Genomic DNA, 26,711 nt, shown 5'->3' on the forward strand with positions numbered 1-26,711 from the left:
GTTTGGAGTTTCCTCAAAAAATCTAAAAATTGAGCTACCATTTGATCCAGCAATCCCACTGCTGGGTATATACCCAAAATAAAGGAAATCAGTATGTGGAAGAGATACCGGCACTCCTATGTTTGTTGCAGCACTGTTTATAATAGCTAAGACTTGGAAACAACCTGAGTGTCCATCAACAGATTAATGGATGAAGAAAACATGGTACATATACACAACGGAGTACTATTGAGCCATAAAAAAGAATGACATCCAGTCATTTGCAACAACATGGATGGAAATGGAGGTCATTACGTTAAGTGAAATTATCCAGGCACAGAAAGACAAACATCACATGCTCTCACTTACTTGTGGGATTTAAAAATCAAAACAACTTAACTCACGGACATAGAGAATAGAATGGTTACCAGAGGCTAGGAAGGGTAATGAGAGGCTGAGGGGGAGGTAGGGATGATTAATGGGTACATAAAAAATAGAAAGAATGAATAAGACCTACTACTTGATAGCACAATATGGTGACTTTAGTCAATAATAACTTAATTGTACAGTTAAAAATAACTAAAAGACTACAATTGGATTGTTTTTAACACACAGGATAAATGCCTGAGGGAATGAATACCCCATTCTCCATGATGTGCTTTATTCACATTGCATGCCTATATCAAAATATCCCATGTACCCCATAAATATAGACACCTACCATGTACCCACAAAAGTTTTTTAAAAATCTGTTAGAATCAGAGTTCAACCCCTTGGATGAAGTCAGTTAGTTCCAGAGATAGAACTGTATGTGTTTCAGGCTGTACTATCAAGAGAGTTGTTAGTTTTAGATAGATTAGTTTTGAGAACTAATAAACATTCATTGAAATATTTATATATATAATCCAGAATGGAATATAGAGGGAGTGACTTACTTGCCTAAAGGAATGAGGAAAGACTTCACAGAGAAAATAAAAATATTTGTTGGGATTGTAAAGATTTCTTGAGAGTCCTATCTCCTGCCATATACTTGTCTATGTAGCGGGATTACAGTTCACCAACAAAGTCTCTGAGTTTACAGAGTAGGGTTAGAGAGCTTATGAACTAATACATATAGACATGCATACATACATAAAAGTATGTATACATTTTACATCTTAGGTAATGATTAGTGCTGTGATGAAAATGCAACAGTATTATATGAAAGATTATGAATAAAGGCAAAAATAGGTACAACTTTTCCAGGGTTTAGTTAAACCAAAATTCTTTAAAATTTTATTAACAGATTCTGATCAACTCTCCAGCTTTCTGCTTACTCAAAGCTGTCCTGTGGAAGGCACATTGCTCAGACTGGGCAAAATCTTGAGTCTTTTGCTGTTCCTTCTCCTCCCCGCTTTGAACTTCCTGCCCTTTTCTACTCCACACTCAAGACTCCTTCCTTCTACTCATTTAGGCCTAAAATAAAACTACAAATTTCTTAGCAAACAGCCTGTATTTTTTTGTCTCCCTAGCCAAATGATCAAATAAATATTTCAGGAAATAAAGAAGAAAGTGGGGTGTTTTGTTTGGACTTAGTGTATAAAGAATTGATTGTTGGTGTGGGGGAATTAGCATACACAGAGGCAAAAATGTCTTTCTCCTGGATGATAAACATAACAGTGAGCAAATGCTGTCTACACAGATATTTAATGAGTCATTGGCTAGGCTGAGATGAATGGCAGTCCAAAATTCTGCAAGCCTACATAACCAATAGTCAAGAAATATGAATAACAGTTAACCTAGAATACACACTGCAATTTTAAAATTTCTAGTGGAAGCACTGAAGTGTCAACAGAATTGCCAAATTTTCTCTTTGATTAAATGTGAGCATATTCAATTCAAGCATTTTATAATTCATGCCCGTAGGCATTATGACTATGCTCTATAAAATCCCAAAATTCATTATAAAAACTATGGATGCTTAATGAGTCAAATTCCACTTACATTTATTGCTTAGTAAGCTGTGCTCTTCCAGTTGTAATGTATAGGTTTTAGTTACTCAGACTAACAGCAAATCATATTTGCTGTGTAAAACATCACTGAGCATGAATTATAATATCTATTATTCTAGCTTCTGCATCATTAAGGCAAAAATCCAGTTTCGTGGTAAATTTAACCATTAAATGCAGAACTTCTCAATACAACTCGCTGCTTCTAACTTAGAGTTTGTAAGTGAAAAAGTAAGAACTTTAAGAAATCTGCCCTATCCCACTAGAATCCAATGACAAATCCCTTCAATCCTATTCAATTTATTGATTCACTCAATTACACAATTACTATGTAATTACTACGTATTACTATGTAATAAGGCATTGCACTAATTTCTGGGATGCAATGAAATTTACTCTCTAGTTAGAAAGACTTTAGTCAAATAAGAATTATACAAATAGAAGTAAAATTACAGGTGATGCATTGATTATAAAGTGCCTTACAAGCACATGACAGGTGCCCTGATATAGTTGGAGCATTAGGAATGGCTTTCCTGAGGAAGAAATAAATGATCTGAGATTTAAGGGAATTAATTGGGTGGATGGAAGGTAGCTGGAGACTAGGGGTGGAGAAAAGATTTCCTAGCAGAGAGAATTGCATACAAAGTTCCTGCACTGAACGTGGGTTCAATCAAAAAGACCAGTGTGGATGAAGGAGGATTGTTCTGAGATGAAACTAGGGAGATGGGTTGAGGCCAAACCTTGAAGGATTCAAGTGGTCACTTTAGACATTTTGGTCTTTATATTGCCAGGAAGTCCTTGAAGAATCTGAAGCAGAGGAATGAAATATAGTTATGCGTAAGTCATATTTCAAATAAGTTTTTGTAAAGGATGCCTCATTTTACATTTTAATAAGAATAAATAAACATCTGTTTTCTGTGCTTAAAAATGGTATACAAGTTTTCCTACCAAATTGTTCTTTGGCTTGTAAACATATTTTTCTCAATAGTTGAAGTTGGGAACATTCTTTCTCCATTTTTGAATAAGCAAGAGGCACCTAACTCAGCAAAGATAAACACCTGCTGTACCTGAAAGACGTAATTATATTTTGAAAAGTAAAGGAGGTCTGGAATATATTCATGAGGAGTAATATAACTCATAAAAACATTATATAATTATAAATATAATGGTTTATGTAACTTTGGGCCTGAACAATAAGAATGAAGTTGATGTGACTGAAAACCAGTAGAATGGGTGATTCCAGAGTACCCAGTTTCCCTAATTATTATATAGGCTCACATTGACTCCCTGCATCCTTGAGAGTGTGTAGAGCTGTTGCAAATCGCCATGTGCAGACCAATAGGCAACTCCTACCCTTGATGAAGACCTTGGCAAAGACATCTGCAAGTAAGACCATGAGACACACTGACTAGTAGTGAGCAGTAGCTGAGCTAGTGAGAGAGACTGTTAATCCCTAGATATGCAGCATGTGCCTTCCACCCCCATCTGAGGCTCTTGCTTACTCACAGATGTCCTTTCGTTTGTTGGTTTGGTTCAGTGTGTGTGTGTGTGTGTGTCCCCTCAAAATAGGTACAGAGCCTTCAGCTTGCTGGGGAAATTGAAAAGTTAAAGCTACTTAACTCATTTCATGTTTATTTAAAAAAAAAAAAAAGTGGGCTGGGTGCAGTGGCTCACGCCTATAATCCCAGCACTTTGGGAGGCCTAGGTGGGAGGATCACTTGAAGTCAGGAGTTGGAGACCAGCCTGACCAACATGGTGAAACCCCATCTCTATTAAAAATACAAAAATTGGCTGGGTGTGGAGGTGGGTGCCTGTAATCCCAGCTAATAGGGAGGCTGAGGCAAGAGAACTGCTTGGACCCAGGAGGCAGAGGCTGAGCCAAGATCGTGCCACTGCACTCCAGCCTGGGCGAGAGCATGAGACTGTCTCAAAAACAAAGAAAAAAAAAGTGCAGCTACTGCCAGTGCTCATTTAATTTTACATGAACACACGCTTTGAGGCTGAAGCAAATCTAACTGATTTTCAATGTGAAAATAAAACGTAAAAACCGTTCTTGGAGTTATTTCTAAACAGAACTTGTCTCTAATCCTAATATAACAGAAATGTATATAGTGATCAGTAGTTAATAATTGGAAAAACTTTGACGGTAAGATTAGGACTATAATCCGTGAGTTATCTTTAGGTAAATGTTGCAGCTGCAAGGCCTCCGGCGAGTATTCTTGTGGCAAATGGGAAATGTATTTATGTACAACTTGTGTTTATGTACAATTTCTCTTGGCATTGTGGGAAATGTGTTTATGTACTAATTTGTGTTTATGTACAATTTCTCTTGGTATTGTAGGAATTGTGTTTATGTACTAATTTGTGTTTGTGTACAATTTCTCCTGGTATTGCCAACTCATCAACACCCCAGACCTAGGTCCTTGTTTTGACCTAAGGTGTATTTCCATAAACTAAAACAGTCAAGCTTTTAAAAAATCTCTATTAGACTAGATGGAGAATTGAATTTGGACACTTCTACTGTGTTTCCTCATCCACCTGATCTACAAATGTTAGCATGACTCAGGCATCAATTCTTGGTGCCTTCCCTTATCTTGAATATACTTATTCTCTTAGTGAACTCATTCAATTTCATAGCTTTAAATATTTTCAAATGTTGAATACTTCCAAAGTTATATCTCTGACCTAGATTCCTCCCTCTGAACTCTAGACTCATAAAACCAATGGTCTGGTCAACCACTCTACTTAGAGGTTTAAAAGGCATCTCAAACCACATGGACAAACCTGAATCTTTATTCTCCAAAACTGCTTCTTTTGCGGTCTCCTCCCACCAGTAGATGACAATTTATTATTTCAGTCGCTCAGAACAAAAACTTCTGAATCTTTTAAAATTCTGTTTATTTCATACTGTTGTGATTTATCAAAAAAATTGCTTGTCTCCACATTCTAAATATATATCTCAAATAAATACATCAAAAGTGAAATAACTTCCTACCACCTCCACTGCTATCACATTGGTTTTAGCTACCATTTTCCCTTACAAGACTGTTGCAAGACTCTCTAAAATAGTCTCCTTACTTCTACCTTGCTTATTTTCAACACAGTAATATGAAAGATCCTGATGAAACGCATATATAATCATGTTATTCCTCTACTCAAATACTTCAATGGTTTCTCATCTAATTCAGTCTGAAAGCTAAATTTCTTCAAGTGATATATTAATACAAAGCCCTAGAAGATGCTTTTCCATATTACTTCTCTAATCTCACCTATCCTATTCTTTACCTCACTCTACTGTAACCATGTTGGCCTCCTTGCTGTTTCTTGAGCATATGTGTACACTCTCCCCTTGGGTTTTTAATTTATCCTTTCTGTATTTGAGATGCTTTTCCTCCAAATACTCATGTGGCTCACACCCTCATGTCCTTTGGGTCTTAATTTAAATGTCACCTTCTTAGAACACAAGAGTATTCCCTGACCATTCTCAATCCATACACACTTCTTACATTTTTGTCTGCTTAATTTTTTTCCTGTAACTAGTACCATGTAACATAATTTATATTTTGCTTATTTATCTTATTATCTGTTTCTGCCCCTAAAATGTAAATTCCTAAGAGACATGAATTTGTGTCCATTTTATTTTTCTCTTATTATCTCCATGGCCTATAAAATTGTCTGACAATTAGTTGGTACTCAATAAATACATGTTGAACAAAATAATTCATATTCATGGTAAGATGAATAAAAGTGTAGTGAATACCTAGTGAATAAATAGACATCAGGTAAAATAAGTAGATATTCAAACAGCATCATAGGCCAATATTAAGATTCAATGTTCAGTGAAATAAAGTAAAATGAAGAGTATAATCTTTGCATAGTAACATATATTCTGTTTTAAAATCCATCATACTGAAGCAAAATCACATTTCTTGCAAGTACATCTAATTATATAAATAAGCAGAGTGAAAGGAGAAAAGAATGTTGATGGGCAGTGCAGGGAAAAAATAATGAGATATAAAGTAAGAGGGAAACATTGCATGGACTGATGAAGATAGAGTGCCATGAGCTGAGAAATATGAGTAATCCAACTCTTAACACCCACGGTCCCAAAATAACCACACACTCAACCAAGAATCACTCTTGCTGTAGTGTGGAGACTTATAGGAGAGCAAAAGTCAATCTAAAATGACCAGATATTAATCCATTGCAATCATCCAAGTAATGTTTGGGGGTACAATAGTATGAACCTAGAAATTAATAACAGGAGGAATCATGAAATATTAACAAGTATGTGGAAATTAAACAACATGCTCCTGAACAACTATTGGGTCAAAGAAGTAAGTAAAGGGGAAATTTAAAAATATATTGAGATAAATGAAAATGAAAACACAAAATACCAAAACTTATGAGATGCAGCAACAACCATTTTGAGAGAGAAGTTTAATACCAATAAATGTCTGCATCAAAAACAGAGGAAAAAAATAAAAAGATTTCAAATAAACAACCTAACATTACATGTCAAGGAACTAGACAAATAAGAACAAACTAAGCCTAAAATTAGCAGAAGGAAGAAAATAACAAAGATCAGAACAGAAATAAATGAAATAGAGATTAGAACAATAGAAAAGATAAACAAAACAAAGACTTGATTTTTTGAAAAGCTAAACAAAATGAACGAATTCTTCATTGAATTAAGGAAAAAGAGAGAAGACTCAAATTTGAAAAATCAGAAATGAAAGAAGAGACATTATAACTGATAACACAGAAATACAAAGGATCATAAGAAACTACTATAGGCAATTACATGTAATTAAATTGGACCACCTTGAAGAAATAGTTAAATTCTTAGAAATATGTAACATACCAAGACTGAATCATGAAAAATTTGGAAATCTGAATAGATCAGTAATGAGTAAGGAGACTGAATCAGTAATTTAAAATCCTCCATCAAAGAAAAGCCCACAACTATATGGCTTTGCAGTTGAATTCTACCAAAGATTTAAAGAAGAACTAATACCAATCCTTTTCATACTCTTCCAAAAGTTGAAGAGGAGAGAATACTTTCCAACTCATTTTACAAGGCTAGTATTAAACTAATACCCCAGACAAAGACCTCACAATGAAAGAGAGAAAAATTAAAGACAAATTACTCTGATGAACATAGCTGAAAAATCCTCAACAAAATATTAGCAAACCATATTCAGCAGTACATTAAAAGAGTCATTCACCATGATCAAGTGGGTTTTATTCCTGGGATGGTTGAACAAACCAACAAACCAAGAAAGTTGGTTTAACATACAGAAATCAATAAATACAATGCACCGCATTATGAGAATAAAGGAAAAAGACCACATGATTATCTCAAGTGATGAAGAAGAAGTATGTGACAAGAAAACAAATAACCCTAATTAAAAATGGGCAAAGGACTGGAGTAGACATTTTTCAAAGGAAGACACAGAAATGGCCAACAGACATATTTTTTAAGAGCTCTACATCTCTAGTCATCAAAGTCATTGTGGCTTTATTTTGCAAAATAAAACCACAATGAGATAAAACCTCAGACTCTTAGATTGGCTATTATAAAGAAGATGAAAGATAACAAGTGTTGGTGAGCATGTGGATAAGAGGAAGCCCTTATGCACTACTGGTGGTATTGTAAATTAGTATAGCCACTTTGAAAAATAGTATGGAAGTTCCTCAAAAATCTGAAAAATAGAAATACCATATGGCCAAGCAATCTCACTACTATTCACAATAGCCAAGATATAGAAACAATCTAAATGTCCATCAACAAATGAATGGATTAAAAATGTGATATATACATATATATATACTCACACACACACACACACAATGGAATACTATTCAGCCTTTTAAAAAAAAAACAAAATTTTTTCATTTGTGACAATGTGGATGAACCTAGAGGACATTAAGATAAATGAAATAATCCAAACACAGAGAAAAAAACACCACACGGTCTCACTTACATGAGGAATCTAAAAAAGTTGAACTCACAGAAGTAAAGAGTAGAATAATGGTTACTAGACATGGGAGTTTGGGAGTAAATAGGGATAGAGGAGACACTGATCAACAGGTAAGAGGGTACAATTAAACAGAAGGAATAATTTCTGGCATTCTGTTGGATAGTAAGGTGACTACAGTTATTAATAATATATTGTATGTTTCAAAATAGCTGAAAGAGAGAATGTTAAATGTTCTCACCATAAGAAATGATAAATATTTGTGTTGATGTATATGCTAATTACTGATTTGATCATTCCACAATGTATATGTATTTTGAAATATCACACTGCATCCCATAAATACATACAATTATTATCTGACAGTTGAAAATAAAATAAAATAGAATTTTATGTTGGAAAAAAAAGATAAGGTAGTAGATTGGATTAGGATAACAGTAAAGAGACCAAGAGATTTATTGGAAAGACTGTGTGATTGATTGACTATTGGATGAGAGGAAGAAAAGAAAGATTTCAAAATAATTCCCAAGTTTCTGATTCTAATGTTATGAATAATAACATTTCAGTGAATAACTGAAATAGGGAATGTTAGTGTAGGAATTTCATCATAATTTTTGTTCTGGTTGTATAAGTGTGATCATCTAAATGAAATTCGATCAGATAATAGTATTCAGTATTTCAGTAGGTGCAAGAATTGTGTTTTATGGGATCTACACTATATTTTCTGATTAATTTCAACCTTAGATAATAAAACGAATTGAATTGAGTCTTGTTAGCACTTTAGATTATGGGGAATTACTAGATTAAAAATACTCTTTAAAGCTTTAGGGTTCAGGAGTTTGTACTTTTCAAAGCATTGCTTAAACAAACTGAGGTAGTGGGAAATGAAGAGAATAGAGTCTGGTAACATAAAATAAAACTCATAGCAATTTTTTGTTGTTGACCGAGGTCAGTTTAGTTGAACCGTCTTGCAAGAAATAAAAACACATTTAAAATAAAATTCAAAAAAATGAATATCTCAAAGTATTGTAATTAATCTATTCTATTGTTGTTTTATACATTTTTGTACCTTTATTATAGCATTTATCACATTCTACAGAGGATTGTAATTATTGCTGTTACATCTTTGTGTCTCCTACCCAATTATAACCACTTACTGGGCAAAGACAGTGTCTTTTTTATTTTTTCCCACTCGCAACTCACACACTGCTTATATCTCACTCAGTATATGTTTACTGGTCTTTTAAATTATCAGTTTTAACTTCTTCTGAGGCAATTTTTTAATAGGCTGGATCCAAACCAGTTTTCCTGAGAACTAATACAAATGTGAACTTATATTTGATGAACTAGATTGTTAGACCTTGTAGGGCAAGAAAAAAAAAAACCCTTTTCTTTCCTACACATCTTAGGCTCATTGAATGGAGTCTTGTAAATTAGACCGACGAAAGACAGATTGTCAAGAGAAAAACACACTAATTTATTTACTATAAGTTTCACATGACACAGGAGCCTTCCTAAGGAAATAAAGACCTCAAGAGACTGTTAATCTTGAATGGTTTTATGCTAGGTGTGATGAAGAGTGGAGAGTCTTGGGAAAATTTGATAGTACAAAAAGATATCATAGGAGAAAGGGCTAAGTGTAGTAAAGTGGGGGACATTTAGCAAAGTCTGTTCTTTCAGATTCCTCCTGGTAACTCTCCATCTTCAGAGATCAGGATGCTCCTTTCCTCCAGGTACAGGGAGTGCACCTCTCACATGAGAGTCTCATGACCTGCTTAAGGGGAAGAAGCTCAGAGAGTCCTTCCTGCACCTGCTGTTTCTCAAATTCCTTCTGTTTGAAATCGTCAATATGCCAAGGCAGCATACTCTGGGGTAGTGCTTTCTGAATCCTTTTAACCCTGAAGCATGGGAAAACTACTGACTTACCTCGAAGCGACATTCAAAGAATTTGCCATTTTCTTGTCTACCTATTTATTGTTTCATATTATTCTTATTGTTATTGTTCTGGCCCAGTTATACTCAACGGGTGATATGAGGGTTGTGTTTCACCATCTACTCCTGGTATTTGAAGAGTAACTTCTAGACAAGAAATTGTGATAGAACCGAGGCTTGCATTTTGTCAATCTTATATTAAAGGGGAAAACAAGTAAGAACAGTGCTCAATAAATCATCTTCAATGTTTCTCAGATCCGCTCTACACATTACTCTTTCCTCCTTCCCACCCATTCAATTATTCAGCAAATATTTATTGAGTTTTTTAGGAAGTGGGGGCACACCGATGAATAAAACAGATTAAAATCTCTGCCTTTGTAAAGTTTTTAATTCAGAAGAGGGAAACAATGAAAAATAAGCAGCACAGAAGAGAGAAAGAGAAGGGCTAGTGCAGGGGGCAGATACAGACACAGATATGCATGTTGGAAGCTAATAAATACTGACGAACAAAGGAAAATATTAAATAAAGTAGATAGAGTAGGCCATACTGTGAAAACAAGATCCCAACGAAGTGTTGAAGGATCTGCAGGAATTAGCCCAGCAGTTGTCTCGAAGAAAGTATCCTAAGCAGAGAGAAGGCTAGCTCAAATGTCCTAAGGTAGACATACCCAATGTTCCTGAGAAACAGCTCAGGGGCCAATGTGGTTGGAGGGGAGTGAGCTAAGCGGGGCTAGTAGGACATGTGGCAGAGGAGTAAGAGAGAGATAGATCACAAAAAGCCTTGAAGGCTCTTAAAAGAATCTGTTTTTACTCTAAAGGGTCATTACAGGGTTCTAAGCAGAGGAGTGACACAGTCTGACTTATGCTTTTATTAAAGGAGTTGCTTTAAAGACAGCAACTCCTTTTGGAGACCAACTGCTGTGTTGAGGATAGATTGGGGCAGGGCAGGGGCCAGGTGGGGGCTGGGGGACCTGGAATCGGGAAGACCAGCAGGAAGTTATCATGGTGATTCAGGTGGGAGATGATGGCCAGGACTGAAATGACAGCAATGGAAGCAGTGCAAAGGGCGCAGCTACTGTTTATACCTTGAAGGTTGAGTCAACAGAATTTCCTAACAGACTGGATGTGAGTGTGAGAGAACGCGTGAAGTAGGGGAATCACTCCACTAAGTATTGCTTAAACAAGGGGCAGGGTGGAGCAGCCACAAATTAAGATGCGGGTACTCCCTGAATGTGGGGGCAGGGTGGTCAGGAGTTCAGTTTTGAGTGTACTGGGTTTGACATGTGTATTCATCATCTGAGATTGTACCTTCATACTTCTTAGTTGAGAAGGAGCTTAGAGACCACAGTAAATATGGTATCTGTCTGCCTAATCAATATTCTTTCTTTACAAATTAAGAAGTTCATTTGTAAAAACAATTCAATGAATTGCACAAGGCTACGCAGCATAACAATTGTCATGCACAGTTGTTCTTTTAAAGTACTGTCTGGGCAATAAATCATAGCCAAGTTCAGAATCCTCTGGCCTGTTTAAGTGAAAACCTTCCAGGGCTAATAATTCCAGTCACTAAAGAAGGGGCTTTAAAAAAAAAAAACTCCCTTGTGCCAGTGCACGGTGTCTCACAACTGTAATCCCAGCACTTTGGGAGGCCAAGGTGGGCTGATCACTTGAGGTCAGGAGTTCGAGACCATCCTGGACAACATGGTGAAACCCTGTCTCTACTAAAAATACAAAAAATTGCCAGGTATGGTAGCTCATGCCTGTAATCCCAGCTACTGGGGAGGCTGAGGCAGGAGAATCGCTGGAAGCCAGGAGGTGAAGGTTGCAGTGAGCCAAGATAGTACCACTCTACTCCAGCCTAGGCGACAGAGTGAGACTCTGTTTCAAAAATAATAATTATTATAATTATTTTAAAAAATGAAAAAATTACAAACCTCCCTTGTAAAGAAGACATACAACTAACATTCATTAAGAGATTATATCATTCCGGACACACTCTCTCACTTAAGGGTCACAACAGCCCTATGAGTTAGGTTCCATAACTATTTTCCCCATTTTACAAAAGAGGTAAAGAAATTATAGAGACGTTAAGTGATTTGTTAATTAAGTAGTAAAGCTGAGATTTAAACCCCGCATTCTGAGCCTAAAGTTCTGCACTAGACCTTTACCCTTTCACTGTAGTATTCAAGCTCTATAAAAATGCAGTCAGTGCTTGGAAGGGCAACTTTGAAAGCTGGTCATTATGTCACAATTGTGTTTGTGACAACAGGTGTTAAGAGGAAGAGAGGAGCAAGCATATATATATGGCACTCCAGGAAGATGAAGGTGGGATTATAGAAGTAAGAGTTAAAAACTGGGGAATGGAGGTTACTAACACCCAGATTTCAAAGATGAATTTTCTAACTTAAATTTACTGAAGACTCTATCCTCTGGGGAAGGCGTGTTTAAATAAAACCAAGGAAGGTTTTTTATAACATGAAGTGATTCCTTTAAATGAAATTGAGTATATAACATGCTGGTATTGTTCATTAAGAATAATTTGCTTAAAATTGCCTACAATCAAGAATTTTATGCAACCATTGTATTGATTTTATAATTGACAGACTGGTGTTTACTTTAAAATGTGCCAATGAGTAAACTGAGTCTTTATTGACATTTATACACACTAAATTAAACTGAAAACCAACTTCTTTTTTTCAGCTTGCTTTGCTGTGACTAAAGAGAACTTGTAAGGAAGCCTGTGTCCATAGATTGTCATGGTAGCTCGCAACCTTTACTTTCTTTACGTGTGTCAAGTAATTCCAGGGAGTAGACGGTAAATTGGCACATCTTTCCATTAAGTAGGACTTGTTTGCCTTCAAAGAGGGGAGACATTGCCTCCTCCAAGTGATAGAGGGATGAGAAAACCTTTAAATATAGTCAGATGGAAAATGGTTGAAATGTTTTGTTTTAACATATGCCTTCTGGTATTTTTTATTTTCAAAATAAAAAATGCGTTTTTCATTTCATTTATGGTAATTAACACACTTCATTTGTTTTCCTTTTGTGGTTTTTGACTTTTTCATTTGATTGAAGAGCCTTTCTTTCAAGGCATTTGTCTGCTCCCTGGTGGTCAGATAAAAATTTGCAACTTCAAGTGTTCAAACGGTTTTTTTTTTCCCCAACCTTAAAAAAAAAAAATCCTTCAAATTGGCATTCAGAAGTGTGTTACCTCACATTTTATCAGCAGATGGATCCCGCATTAAGTTATTGTTTCCTTAATCCAACTGAGGTTCCAAATGTTCCTTTTATTATAACGTATACAGGGAAATTTCAATATGCTTACTTTCTAGTGTATGCAGCTGTAGTCTGGGAGGTCTGATGTTAGGGAAAAAGAAGGAGGAAAGCAAGATTAAAAATCATTCCTGGAAATGCAAGAGAAAATGTGCTGGAGTGGTAAGACCAAAGTTTTCTTCTTCCTTTTTTTTTTTTCTGCTCTTCACACACACACAGACACCCCACAAGGAAAAAGATAGGTTTGCCTAGAAAACTACTGCTTCAGTTTCTCCTCTCTACTTTTCCTCTCCTGCAAGTTAAGTAAATCTCCAAGCCCATGAAAAATGTATGGACGCCTGGTCTGGTGTGTATATCCCAGTACTTTGTGAGGCCTACGCAGGAGGATTGCCTGAGTCTAGGAGTTCAAGACAAGCCTGGGCAACATAGTGAGACCCTGTTTCTAAAAAAAAAAAAAAAAAAAAAAATTTAAAAATTAGCCAGGTGTAGTGGCCCGTGCCTGTATACCCAGTTACTGGAGAGGCTGTAATTGTGTGGTGAAGAAAGTGTTAATTAATTTGATTGTGGTAATTATTATACAATGTATGTGTATCTCAAATTATCATGTTGTATACATTAATATAATTTTCATTTGTCAATTATACCTTAATAAAGCTGAGGAGGAAAAATTTTAATGTAATCCTGTCAAGACCATTTTCCACTATGACTGGCTTTCCTTCATACTTTCCCTTAGAATGGCCTTGGGCATTACGACTTTGAAACAAGGGGAAGTTGTGTTGAAGATATTCCATTTTAATTGTAATTTAGAAAAACAGTTTGGAAAATTTCAATAAAACGATAGAGAAATTATAGATTCTTGATGTAGATACATGTGAAGGATATTCTTTTGCCATTTTAAAATGTATTTACTATATAACCAAAAGAATTCAAATTAATGAAATATGAAAAGAAAAACCACAAGAATAAATAATACAATCAATAGAAATTACTCTGATATCAAGAAGTAAATTATAACAACCACAATGAAATCACATCATATCCAAAAGAATAACTCATTAAAAGGAAAAGATAAGTTTGAATGGGAGTAATGAGTAAGTGCTTGGATTGACAATGAAATCAAAAGGAAGAGTTCCATACAGACAAAGTGGAAATAATGTAAATATCTTGCCGATTTAACAAGAAATACTGGCTGAAGAAAATGTAAAAACTCATAATACATCCCAACTACAGTGAGAACATCAATAGCAAAGTGTTTAAAAAATATTATCAATTCCAAGATAATTCATGGAATTCTCTTAAATTGATAATATTGTGCAAAAATTGCCCTCAGAACCTATGACTCATATGAACAGAACTTAATATGCTAGGCATGGTGGCTCACACCTGTAATCCCAGCACTTTGGGATGCCAAGGCAGGCAGGTCCTTTGAGCCCAGGAGTTTGAGACCAGCCTGGACAACATGGTGAAACCCTGTTTGTACAAAAAATACAAAAATTAGCGGGGCATTGTGGTGCATGCCTGTAGTCCCAGCTACTTGGGATGAGGGCCTGAGGTAGGAGCATCGCTTGAGCTTGGGAGATCAAGGCTGCACTGAGCTGTTATCGTGTCACTGCACTCCAGCCTGGACAACAGAGTGGGACTCTGTCTCAAAAACAAACAAACAAAAACTTGACAGAGAGTTTCCCAAATTATCCGCAATCCTAAAAATTTAATTTGACATCCCAAACAATAAGTAACGAAATTATAATAAATTATTCTAAACTACCAAATTAAAAAAATTTTTTTGATCAATCTAGAGGAAAGACTGAATTATCTTTCTATTCTCTCCATGGAAAATATTATAAAATCAATGTCATATCAAGAGGCAATTCAGAGTATACAGCAAAAATACATATGTTAGAAAAAAGTATTATGGTGTTTTTAAGGTTGTTAATAAGTGCAATTGTGCAGTATTTCTGGATTTTTGTATTTGTCAACTTCTGAAAATTTTGAATTTCTTGTGATTTCTTTTCTCATTCTAAATAAATACATTTGCATCTTCGTAAATTTTCTTAAAAACCTTATTTTCTGCCTCTCTCCAGATAAGCTTCGTGCCCCCCAAAACAAAAGTTTATTCCTATACACACCTCCACTGTAACTCTTAGCAATTGTGGGTCCCTTCTCAATACTTACAAAGTGTGGTCACAGACATACACATTCATGCACACACACTGCCAATTGTGATTCAATCTCATCTAAGAATAAAGGCTGTGTAATGGCTTTGCATTTGATTAACTAAAAGGCCACCCTCTTAACATTCCATCTCCAGAATGAATTATGTCTGTATCTCTAATGTAGCAGACCTGCTTACACCTTTTAAACTTGCTACTCTTCAAGTCTTTACCACAACCATGCTGGAAAGGAAAATAAAAAAAACAAAATCTAAACAACCTAATAGCCTCAGTTTCATCTAAGACCCCTCTCCTCAGTTTTCATTCAATTTACAGTGCTTCCTGGGCTGCTCTGAAATGGGATGTTAGTATTTCTCAAGATGCAATTATTTCTTGTTAAAATAATAACAATCATCATCATCATCATCATCATCTAGGTGCTGTTAGTACCAGGGACACTGGACAAGAAAGATAAGCAAGCCACTGCTGTCTGATTCCTACATAGCAGGTTTGTATTTTGTGACAAAGGTAGCATGTATTATTTTCTGTGCCCAGAAATTTCTAATAGGAATATGTATTATAATGACATCTTTCATACTGTGATGTTGAAACCATCTCCACAAAGTTCACAAGAATTGCATGTTGAGTTCTGGACAGAAATATAGTTATAATTAAGCATTAATCAGGCTGCACTCTGGCCCACTTCCTTGTTGTTAAAACTCATGTAGCACTAGATACTGGCCATTTGCATGCTCATTGTTCCATAGATAGAATTTCTGACATTAGGGTCATAGGCTGTTTAAGAATCGATTTGCATGCCCACTGCTCCCATAGGGAGGATGTCTGACATGAGTGTCATAGACTATTTAAGAAATAATTTGCATCCCCGTTGTTCCTACAGACAGGATCTCTGTCATTAGAATCATAAGGCTTTTGTTTAAGGCTTTTGTTAAATTTTGTAAAATTTCTCATTTCTTGTGATTTCTATTCTCATTCTAAATAAATACATTTATATCTTTGCAATTTTTCTTTAAGACCTTACTTCTGCTTCACTCAAGATTGTTTTTCAGACCCCTAATTCCAGCAGCCAGTTTGAAGACCCCCACAGAAGAGTGAGATCAGCAGAATACACCTCATTCATCTCCCTATTCCATGACTTCACTGTGCACTCTGGGACCAATCAACAATCTCCACACTTCAGTTCACTCCAAAACCCTTAAAAATTTTATCCTCAAATTCTTCAGGGAGATGGATTTGAGGCTTCTTCCCATCTCCTTGTTCAGTGACCCTACAATTGAATCTCTTTCTCTGCGCCAGCTCAGCATCTTGGTGTATTGACTTGCTGTATGCATCAGGCAATAAGCCTATTACAGCTACGGTAGTCTATCCAATATGAAACAAGAAATGAAATTCTGTTAATGCCATGTTGAGTATTATCCTGGCTCTAAAAGTATATTTGAAATGAGAATTGTAAATCCAAAAGCTTGTTTAAGTACAATAGGCAAATTTTACTGGAACATATAAATATGATGGGCCTCTATTTATTGGCCTATCCAGTTTCTTCAAAAGGCTGGAAAAAGTAAACCTTTCCCTTACAGTTTTGTATGCTTCTCTAGGTTCTAAATTAGGTATTTATCTAAATAGTATAGAATTCGTGTTTGTAATTCAGGAGGTAAAAAAGAGTATTAAAGGGACTTGATTTAGTTTTAGACCCAGGAAACACTGCAAGCACTTTGATGTGCTGGATGTCCTGCAGTTGGTGGCTTGTGTTGATACTGGCAATGAACCATACTACTGACTAGTTTTTCTTGTACAGGCAATGAGAAAGATTAGCATATTGGCTTAATCAATTTTTAATGAAGGAGATATATACTAATGACCAAATATTTGATACTGCTGTTACAGAAGAGCAAAATTTAAATTTTCAAAAGGACAGAATTATTAGGAGAACTACTTTGGGAACTGGATTTTCTATATAATCGTTTGTTCCCATCTTCTAATTGTCCCCTGGCTTTCTTCTTCAGTCTAGGATATGGATGAATAATTAAACGAAGAAATATTTCAGATTCTTGCCTGTATGGATTTTATACATAGCATTCAAGCACTGCTGATTTACCATGAATCGATTATACTTTACTGTGGGCTCAGTCTTTGATCATTTGCTCTTTTGGCTAACTAGCAAGATTAAGTGATTTGTCCTAAATCATGCTCTAAGAATTAAGACTTCATTAATAATGCACTAAGAATTATATACATGCTACAGAAAGCAATCTTAGAGATCTGTATTTGTCAAGACTCCTGACTGCGTGTGACTTAACATGAATCAGTTTATTGGTCCCCTAATGACTACAATGTGGGAAAGATAGAGTGGAGGGATATAGAGATTCTCTTTATCCACATAAACCGAAGAAATGTAGAATTTAAGACTTTGTGTTTCTAACACTGTAGGAGAGAACAGTTCATTCAGAGCTCTTAATATTTTAGGAACTAGAGATTAATTTAGTAAAAATTACTAGATCATCAATGTCACATTTGTTTGAATTGTAAAAAGTTGCCTCCAGCAGAAGGATTGAAAAAAAAAAACAAAAAACAAAAAAACAACAAACAAAAAAAAAAAACCAAACACTCTCTGGGCAGATGAATTACAAAAGGCATCTCTTTGGGTAAATAAACAATGAAAATCTAAAAAACAAAACACTCTTTTAAACTGATAAACAACCCAAGGCTAACAAACCAGCCTTCCATTTACCCTCTTGGCTGGATGCATTTGTGAAAAGTACAATCTGCAAAATCATACAATTGATTTTGGAGAGTTCATCGGATTTTTCTGAATCTTGAATACAGTATTACGCTGGACTCTTTTTTTGGTGTTGGAGGGCAGTATCTGCCAGGCTCACAATGAAGTCATTAATTTTGTTATTACATCTCTTCCACCACCACTTCCCACCCCTGGCAACTACAGTGTACCACATGACCACAAATTCTTGCTCACGGTGGATTGGACACCGGACCTAAGTTGGGCCAATCAGAACTACTTCCCGGCAACTTGCGATTGTCACTGAAAGAAATTGTAATCCTCCTTAGAGGTGCTGCAGTGTGGGCAGCTTCCATGCACAACATGCAACATTTAAAAACCCAGTATAGGCAAAGAAAGAATGAAGCAGACATAGAGGGAAGTGTGGAGAGAAGCTACATATGGTGGAGATGACCCTCTGCTCTTCTGAAGGCCTTTGGGGTCTGATACAAACCCCTGTGTCCCAATTATAAATTCTCCTTTTCTTCTTTACCTAGGTTAAAGTGTTGGATTCATAATTCTCACTTCAGGAAGACTGAAAACCAGACTTTATTCTGCTAGATCCCAAGATATCAAGGAAGAGGAAAAGGGAAGAGCCCCAGGCACTATTAAACCACAGCTACAATCACTGCCATTTGAAACTTCCCACCAAACAACTTTACTATTCTGATTTAATTTCAACTCCCAGGGAGAGTTAGTATTAAGAGGAAGTACCTATCATCCATGATAATCCACCAGCTCTGGGGGTTTAGAAGGGAAAGGATGGAGGTCTCAGTGCTTGAGGCTAGGCTGACAGCTGAGCAGGGCTCCAGCTCACCTTAATCTCACTCCTGTGGATGCCTGCACTAGGGGCCTGAGCATTCTCCCAGATCTCTGCATAGGAGGCTGCCCTTAGGCATTATTAAGGTGTGAAAGCAGCAAGAAAGAGCAGAATTAAACTGCTTTTCTCTAATGTATCCTTTTACAGCCCAGTGTATTTTGCCCTAGGCTAGCCTTTTCTTCTCCTTTCACCCTCCACATGCCAGTCCGAGACAGCCTTTCTTCTCACAGGAATTATTGTATTATTTCTTAAATTCTTTTTTTCTTCTCCATGGCTTTTCTAGAGGAAACCTAACAGTGTGGGTTTATCAATCATTTTGACAAGACTCTGAATTCCACTGAACAGATTTTTGAATAAAAATTATGAACAAAGAAAGTGTAGTAAATCTGCTAATAGAAAAACTGACTATGCCTTGTGGGAAAATTTTTGTGTGTGTGACATTCCATCGTGTACCTGCCAGAGAAGAAAACAATTGGGCCTGTTACTCAAATTGTTCAATTTTTAAGCAGGTCCATTGTTATGATTGGACTTTATTCCAATATAAGCACTTGCAAAAGGATGACATAAAGTGAGAATATAATAGAATGATTATATGTAATGAGTTTACTGAAGAACTTCTACATCTTGGAGTACAAACAATGTTTTGGATTTTTTTGTTTGTTTGTTTTTTTCCCATCATTTTCGGCAGTGTTTTCTTGCATTTCTCCTTGCAAGCCTTTTAAACAATATCATCTACAATTTTCTGCTTGCTTATGATTATCAAAATTAAACCCAATTCTATTTATTTAAAACTGCAACATTTTTATATTTGATCTAAAGTTCTTCTTACCCCAAGCATACTTAATCAGTCCTGCTCAGTGTTGCCCATAGAATGTTTTTGGTCTATGAATGATTTGCTAGTGGTCAGAGGCAAATTAAGTATTTAGATATATGTATATTAATTTGACTTTTATGTAACATCCAATCCCATATAAGCACCTTCTTAAACTCTGAGGCCCTATCATAAGCACCTTCTTAAACTCTGAGGCCCTATCACATGGACCCAATGGCACTGCTGAGGCCCTCTTCCGTAAATCCTGATAATCACAGGGAATTGGGATGTAGTGGAGATTTGTTCCCATCATCTTCCCAAGCACCACATTTCCTTCAAGCTCTGTTGGTACAGAACCTACAGAAGTCTTCCCTAACTTAGTGTCTTGTCCATGTGCGCCCCCACACCTTGAGGGGCAGATCTCAAAGCTCTCTGAAAAGCCCTCATGACTTTCAGCTACAGAAGCAATGGCACCTTTGAAGAACTCAAGATTACTGCAGCTCAGCTTCATCTACCTGGGGAGTCAGTTTCCAAAGATATTTCCTTATAGTCACCTCTTGTCCTGGTTTATTTTTGTTGCTATAACTGAATACCTGCTACATCTGGTAAGGGGCTTATTGCTGGTGGGGACTCCCTTTAGAGTCTCCTGGCCTTCAATGTAGGGCATCACATGGTGATGAGCATATAAGGGAGAAGCAAAGTGGCTTTGATAATAGACTCAGCTACATGACAAACCATTAGTCCATTGACCCACTAATTCATCAATTCATGAATGGATTAATCCATTTGCAAAAGCAGGGCCCTCGACCCAATCATCTCTTAAAGGCCTTACCTCTTAATGCTGTTACATTAGGGATTAAGTTTCAACATGAGTTTTGGAGGAGACAAATATTCAAACCATAGCACCCCTACATTTTTAAAAATCATATATATACATATTTTTCTTTTTTTCATAGCTTTATGAGGTACATGAGAAATTTTGTTACATGTATCTAATGAATAGTGATCTAATCAGGTTATTCAGGGTGTCCATCACCTGAGTACAATACATTTTTGCTAAGTATGATCATTCTAATGTGCTATCACACATTGAAATTATTCCATCTTACTGTATGTTTGTAAGATTTAACCTACTTCTTTTCATCCTACCCCTGCCCCCCACCCTTCCTAGTCTCTGCTATCTATTTTTCTACTCTCTCCCTCCACGTGTTCAAATAATTTATCTCCCACATATAATTGAGAACATATGATTTTTGTGTTTGTGTGTCTGGCTTATTTTACTTAACATAATGTTCTCCAAGCTCATCCATGTTACCACATTTTTTATGGCTGAATAGTATTCCATTTTGTATATACATCACATTTTCTTTATCCATTTATTTGCTGATGGTTGATTCAATATATTTGCTATTGTGAATAGCGCTGCAATAAACATGTGAGTGGAGGTATCACTTTGATGTATTGATTTATTTTCATTTGGGTAGCCACCCAGTAGTGGAATTGCTGGATCAAATGGTAATTCTAGGCCTGGCACAGTGGCCCATGCCCATAATCCCGGTACTTTTGGAGGCCGAGGAGGGTGGATCATTTGAGTTCAGGAGTTCGAGACCAGCCTGGCCAACATGGTGAAACTCTCTCTCTACTAAAAAAAAAAAAAAAAAAAAAAAATAGCTGGGTGTTGTGGTGCACACCTGTAATCCTGGCTACTCAGGAGGCTGAAGTAGGAGAATCACTTGAACTTGGGAGGTGGAGGTTGCAGTGAGTTGAGATTGTGCCACACACTCCAGCCTGGGCAACAGAGTGAGACTCTGTCTCAAAAAAAAAAAAAAAAAAGAAAAAAGAAAAAAGAAAAAAAGTTATTCTATTTTTAGTTTTTAAAGAAATTTCCATACTGTTTTTTATAGTGGCTCTAGTAGTTTACATTCTCACCAACAGCGTATAAGAGTTCTCTTTTCTATTCATCCTTGCCAACATCTGTTATTTTTGTCTTTTTAATAAAGCCATTCTGACTGGTGTAAGATTATATCTCATTGTGATGCTGATGTACAATTCTCTGATGATTAATCTTATAAATTATTCCTAGCTATTGAAAATGGGGTTGCCATCTTGATTGAGTATTTTTTCATTTACCTGTTGGCTGTATGTATGTCTTCTTTGTAGAAATATCTAGTCATATCCTTTGCCCACTTTCTAATGGGATTGTTTGTTGTTTTCATCTCGAATTGTTTGAGTTCCTTTTATATTCTGGATATTATTCCCTGTCAGATGAACAGTTTGCAGATTTTTCTTCCATTCAACAGGGTGTCTCTTCACTGTGTTGACTATTTCTTTTGCTGTGCAGAATCTTTTTAGTTTGATTAGGTCCCATTTATTTATTTTCTTTTCATTGCCTTGCTTTTGAGGTCTTATAAATTCTTTGCCTGGGCCAGTGTCCATGAGTTCTTCCTAGATTTTCATCTAGTATTTTTATAGTTTCAGATCTTACACATAAGTCTTTAGAACATTTTGAGTTGAATTTTTTTTTTTTTTTTTGACAGAGTCTCATTCTGTCATCCAGGCTGGAGTACAATAGTGCAATCTCAGCTTACTGCAGCCTCTGCCTCCTGGGTTCAAGTGATTCTCCTGCCTCAGCCTCCTGAGTAGCTAGGACTACAGGTGCATGCCACCATGCCTGGCTAATTTTTTGTATTTTCAGTAGAGACGGGGTTTCACCCTGCTGGCCAGGCTGGTCTCGAACTCCTGACCTCATGATCCACCCACCTCGGCCTCCCAAAATGCTGGGATTACAGGTTTTATTTATTTTTGTTTTGTTTTGTTTTGTTTGTTTTTTGACAGGGTCTAATTTTGTCAACCAGACTGGAGTGCAGTTGTGTGATCACAACTCACTGCAACCTCTATCTCCCTGAGCTCAAGCAATACTCCTACCTCAGCCTCCTGAGCAGCTGGAACTGCAGGCACACCCTGCCATATCAAGCTATTTTATTTTATTTTTTTGTACTTTTTGTAGAAATGTGGTTTCTTGAACTGGTCTTGAACTCCTGGGTTTAAACAATCCACCTTTCTCAGCCTCCCAAAGTGCTGGGATTCTACTTTTAATTTTTAAAGAAATTTAAAACTAAAATTTTAAATAGGCTGAGAACAGGTGTGAGCCACCACAACTGGTGAGGACTTTTATCATGAAGAAATGTTAAATTTTATAAAATGTTTTTTCTGCATCTATTGAGATGATCATATGATGCATCACATTTACTTATTTGCATATTTTAAACCATCCTGGTATAAATCCCAACTAATGGTGGTATATTATCTTTTTGATGGGCTGTTGGATTTGGTTTGCTAGTACTTTGTTGAGAATTTTTGCCTTTATATTCATCAGGGATAGTAGCCTGATGTTTTCTTTTTTTTTTTTTTTTGGTTGTGTCCTTGTCTGATTTGAGGATCGGGGTATTGCTGGCCTCATAGAACAAGTTAGGGAGAATTTCTTCCTCTTCAATTTTTTTGTAATAGTTTCAGGAGAATTGATATTAGTTTGTCTTTGTATGTTGGATAGAATTCAGCTGTGAATCCCACTGGTCCCAGGCATTTCTTTTTTGGGAGACTTTTTATTACTGATTGAGTCTCACTACTTGTTTATTGATCTGTTTGGGTTTTCTTTGTCTTTCTGATTCAGTCTTTGTGGGTTGTATGTTTCCAGGAACTTACCCATTTCCCATATGTTTTCTAGTTTTTCAGAATATAGTTATTCATAATACTCTCTGATGACCTTTCATGTATCTGTGGTATCTGTTTTAATGCCTCCTTTTCCATTTCTGATTTGTTTATTTGGGTGTTTTCTTTTCTTTTTTAGTTTGACTAGCAGTTTTTCAGTTTTGTTTATCTTTTCAATGAACTAACTTTTCATTCCACTGATTCTTTGCATTTTTTAAGCTCTATTTCACTTAGGTCTGTTCTGATCTGTGTTACTTCCTTTCTTCTGATAATTTGGGGTTTGGTTAGTTCTTTTCTTTTTTTTTTTTTTTTTTTTTCTTGAGATGGAGTCTCCCACTGTTGCTTAGGCTGGAGTGCAGTGGTGCAATCTCGGCTTACTGCAACCTCTGCCTCCTGGGTTCATATGATTCTCCTTCATCAGACTCCCAAGTAGCTGGGATTAAAGGGGCCTGCCACTACGCCCAGCTAATTTTTTGTATTTTTAGGAGAGACGGGGTTTCAGTATGTTGGCCAGGCTGGGTCTCGAACTCCTGACCTCATGATCTGCCCACCTCGGCCTCCCAAAGTGCTAGGATTACAGGTGTTAGCCACCATGCCTGGCCTGGTTATATCTTCTGTTTCTAACTCCTTGAGGTGCATTGTTAGATTGTTAGTTTGTAATCTTTCTGCTTTTTTGATGTAGGCATTTATTGTTATAAACTTTCCTCCTAGCACCTCTTTTACTGTATCACACAGGTTCTGGTATGTTGTGTTTCCATATTTATTTGTCTCCAGAAATTTTTTGATTTCCATCTTAATTTCTTTATTGACCCAATTGTCATTCAAAAACATGTTGCTTAATTTTCATGTATGTGTACAGTTTCCAGAGTTCCTCTTGGTATTAATTTCTGGTTTTATTCCATTGTAGTCTGAGAGGTTACTTGACATGATTTTAAGTTTTTAAATTTGTTGAGACTGATTTTGTAGCCTAACATATGGTCTATCCTGGAGAATGCTCCATGCGCCAAAGAAAAGAATGTATATTCTTCAGTTGTTGGATAGAATGTTCTCTAAACATCTGTTAGGTCCATTTGGTCTAAAGTTTAGTTTAAATCCAATGTTTCTTTGTTGATTTTCTGTCTAGATGCTAATGCTAATGCTGAGAGTGAAGTACTGAAGTTTCCCCACTCTAATTATATTCCAGTCTATCTCTCTCTTTAGAGCTAGTAATATTTATTATGAATCTGGGTGATCCAGTGTTAACCCTACTAAATTTTTCTGATAGTTTATCTTTAAGCTCCTCTCCTTCACATGGGTTGGGCTGGGCAAGAGTGAAGGTGGACATAGAAAAACCTCTCCCAAAAACATCATTTCTTACACTTTTATTTCTCTGTTGATCTGATATATGGAAGAGGAAGGGTGCTTTGAATTGAATGGGCCCAGTGCTATTATTTTTAGATAGTATAGGGATGATATGGTTTGACTCTGTGTCCCCACTGAAATCTTATCTCAAATTGTAATCCCCATAATCCCTATGTGTCAAGGACAGGTCCAGGTGGAGGTAATTGGATCATGGGGGTAGTTTCTCCCATGCTGTTCTCATGATAGTGAGTGAGTTCTTGTGAGATCTGATGGTTTTATAAGCATCTGGCATTTCCCCTACACATACTCACTCCGCCTTGCTGCCATGTAAAGAAGGTGACTGCTTCTCGTTTGCCTTCTGCCATGATTGTAAGTTTCCTGAGGCCTCCCCAGCAATCCATAACTATGAGTCAATTAAACCTCTTCCCTTTGTCAATTATCCAGTCTCAAGTATTTCTTCCTAGCCGAGTGAGAACAGACTAATATAATGGCTTTCTTTAGAGTATGGGAATATGCAGTTAACTTCTATTTCATCTTCAAATCTTAGCTATAATTCTGGCCCAATAAAAACATATTACTCTCATATGTAAACATGAGATCTTATAACATATAATATCATATCATATTTGCCTCAGTAGATTGCAATTGGATTGAAAGAAGAAAGTCAAAACTATCCTATTATTTGTCACATTCTACATAGGCAGCTGGGAACTTAAGCAGTGACTATGCTGGGTAGCTTAACTTCTAATGAGGAGCAACAGCCCAGGGTGCAGGGAATTCCTAACTTTAGACCCAGCTAGGTTTCCTTTACTATTAGTAAACCCTGCCTAAACGTTCATATGCAGGTAGTCTGTTTCTCTGAAATAAAGGATATCACAATAATTAAAATCTGTTAATATATGTGAAGTTCTTAGAACAGCACTTGACACATAGTAAGTACAAATATAATGAATTCTTATAATTGTATGTTGCTTCAACATCCATTTTGAATGTAAATGGCTTGACTTTCCATATTCAATGAGTTAATAGGTTTGACTTCCTCATACAAGAGGCAGAGCTTAGTCACCCTTGACAGAGTTTTCAGTTCTCCACCTCTTCCCAGTTTTTCAAGGTGTTTCATTCAGATATCTGTCTCATTAACTGCCTCCTGGTGACTACTTCCCTACGAGATAGTTACATTCAACCTACTTGCTCTACCCACTCCCACATGTGGCATGTGCTTTGTAGATAGGCCACAGTGACCACCTTTCAGTCACTGCAGGACTGCATCAAACTGCCCACTTGCTCTTAAACCCACCAGTTGTAACTCCCCACCGGAAATCTACCTAGGAAATGGCCTGAACCCCAATAAAGTCTTTGGACCTCAGGTCTCTTACTCTATCTCTCTTGCTCCCCACTTGACAGTTGAGTGTGTGTCCTGGACTCCCTCCTTCCTGTCGGTCCTGAAAAATGTGCTGCTCTCTTCTCTCTAGGGTATATGTGAGTAATAAAACTGCTTCTATTATTCCATGTGATATAGTTTGGCTGTGTCCCTACCCAAATTTCATCTTGAATTGTAGCTCCCACAATTCCCACATGTTGTGGGAGGGACCCAGTGGGAGGTAATTGAATCTTGGGGGTGGGTCTTTCCTGTGCTGTTCTCGTGATAGTGAATAAGTCTCACGAGATCTGATGGTTTTAAAAAGGGGAGTTTCCCTGCACAAGCTCTCTCTTTGCCTGCTGTCATCCATGTAAGGCGTGACTTGTTCCTCCTTGCCTTCCATCATAATTGTGAGGCCTCCCATCCATGTGGAACTGTGAGTCCATTAAACATCTACCCTGTATAAGTTACCCAGTCTCTGGTATGTCTTTATTAGCAGTGTGAAAACGGATTAATATACCATGTGTTTTGTTGTGCTGCCTCTTCTGCATCTCACACGACCAACATACCCGAA

General features: G+C 36.6%; 1 long non-coding RNA gene across 3 annotated transcripts; it reads left to right on the forward strand.

Moving 5' to 3' along the window:
* Positions 1-12,144: 12,144 nt before the first annotated feature.
* LINC01490 (long intergenic non-protein coding RNA 1490) lies at positions 12,145-19,708 on the forward strand. 3 transcript variants are annotated; one of them, NR_120468.1, is made up of 5 exons: positions 12,145-12,205; positions 12,581-12,695; positions 13,213-13,315; positions 15,741-15,811; positions 18,595-19,708. It is a non-coding gene; the product is annotated as a long intergenic non-protein coding RNA 1490 (long non-coding RNA). The 3 variants fall into 3 exon arrangements; NR_120469.1 differs by having other exon boundaries at positions 12,581-12,639; NR_120470.1 differs by lacking the exons at positions 12,581-12,695; positions 13,213-13,315 and having other exon boundaries at positions 12,145-12,219.

This window comes from Homo sapiens, chromosome 12 (genome assembly GCF_000001405.40).
Source record: "Homo sapiens chromosome 12, GRCh38.p14 Primary Assembly".
NCBI classification, from domain to species: domain Eukaryota; kingdom Metazoa; phylum Chordata; class Mammalia; order Primates; family Hominidae; genus Homo; species Homo sapiens.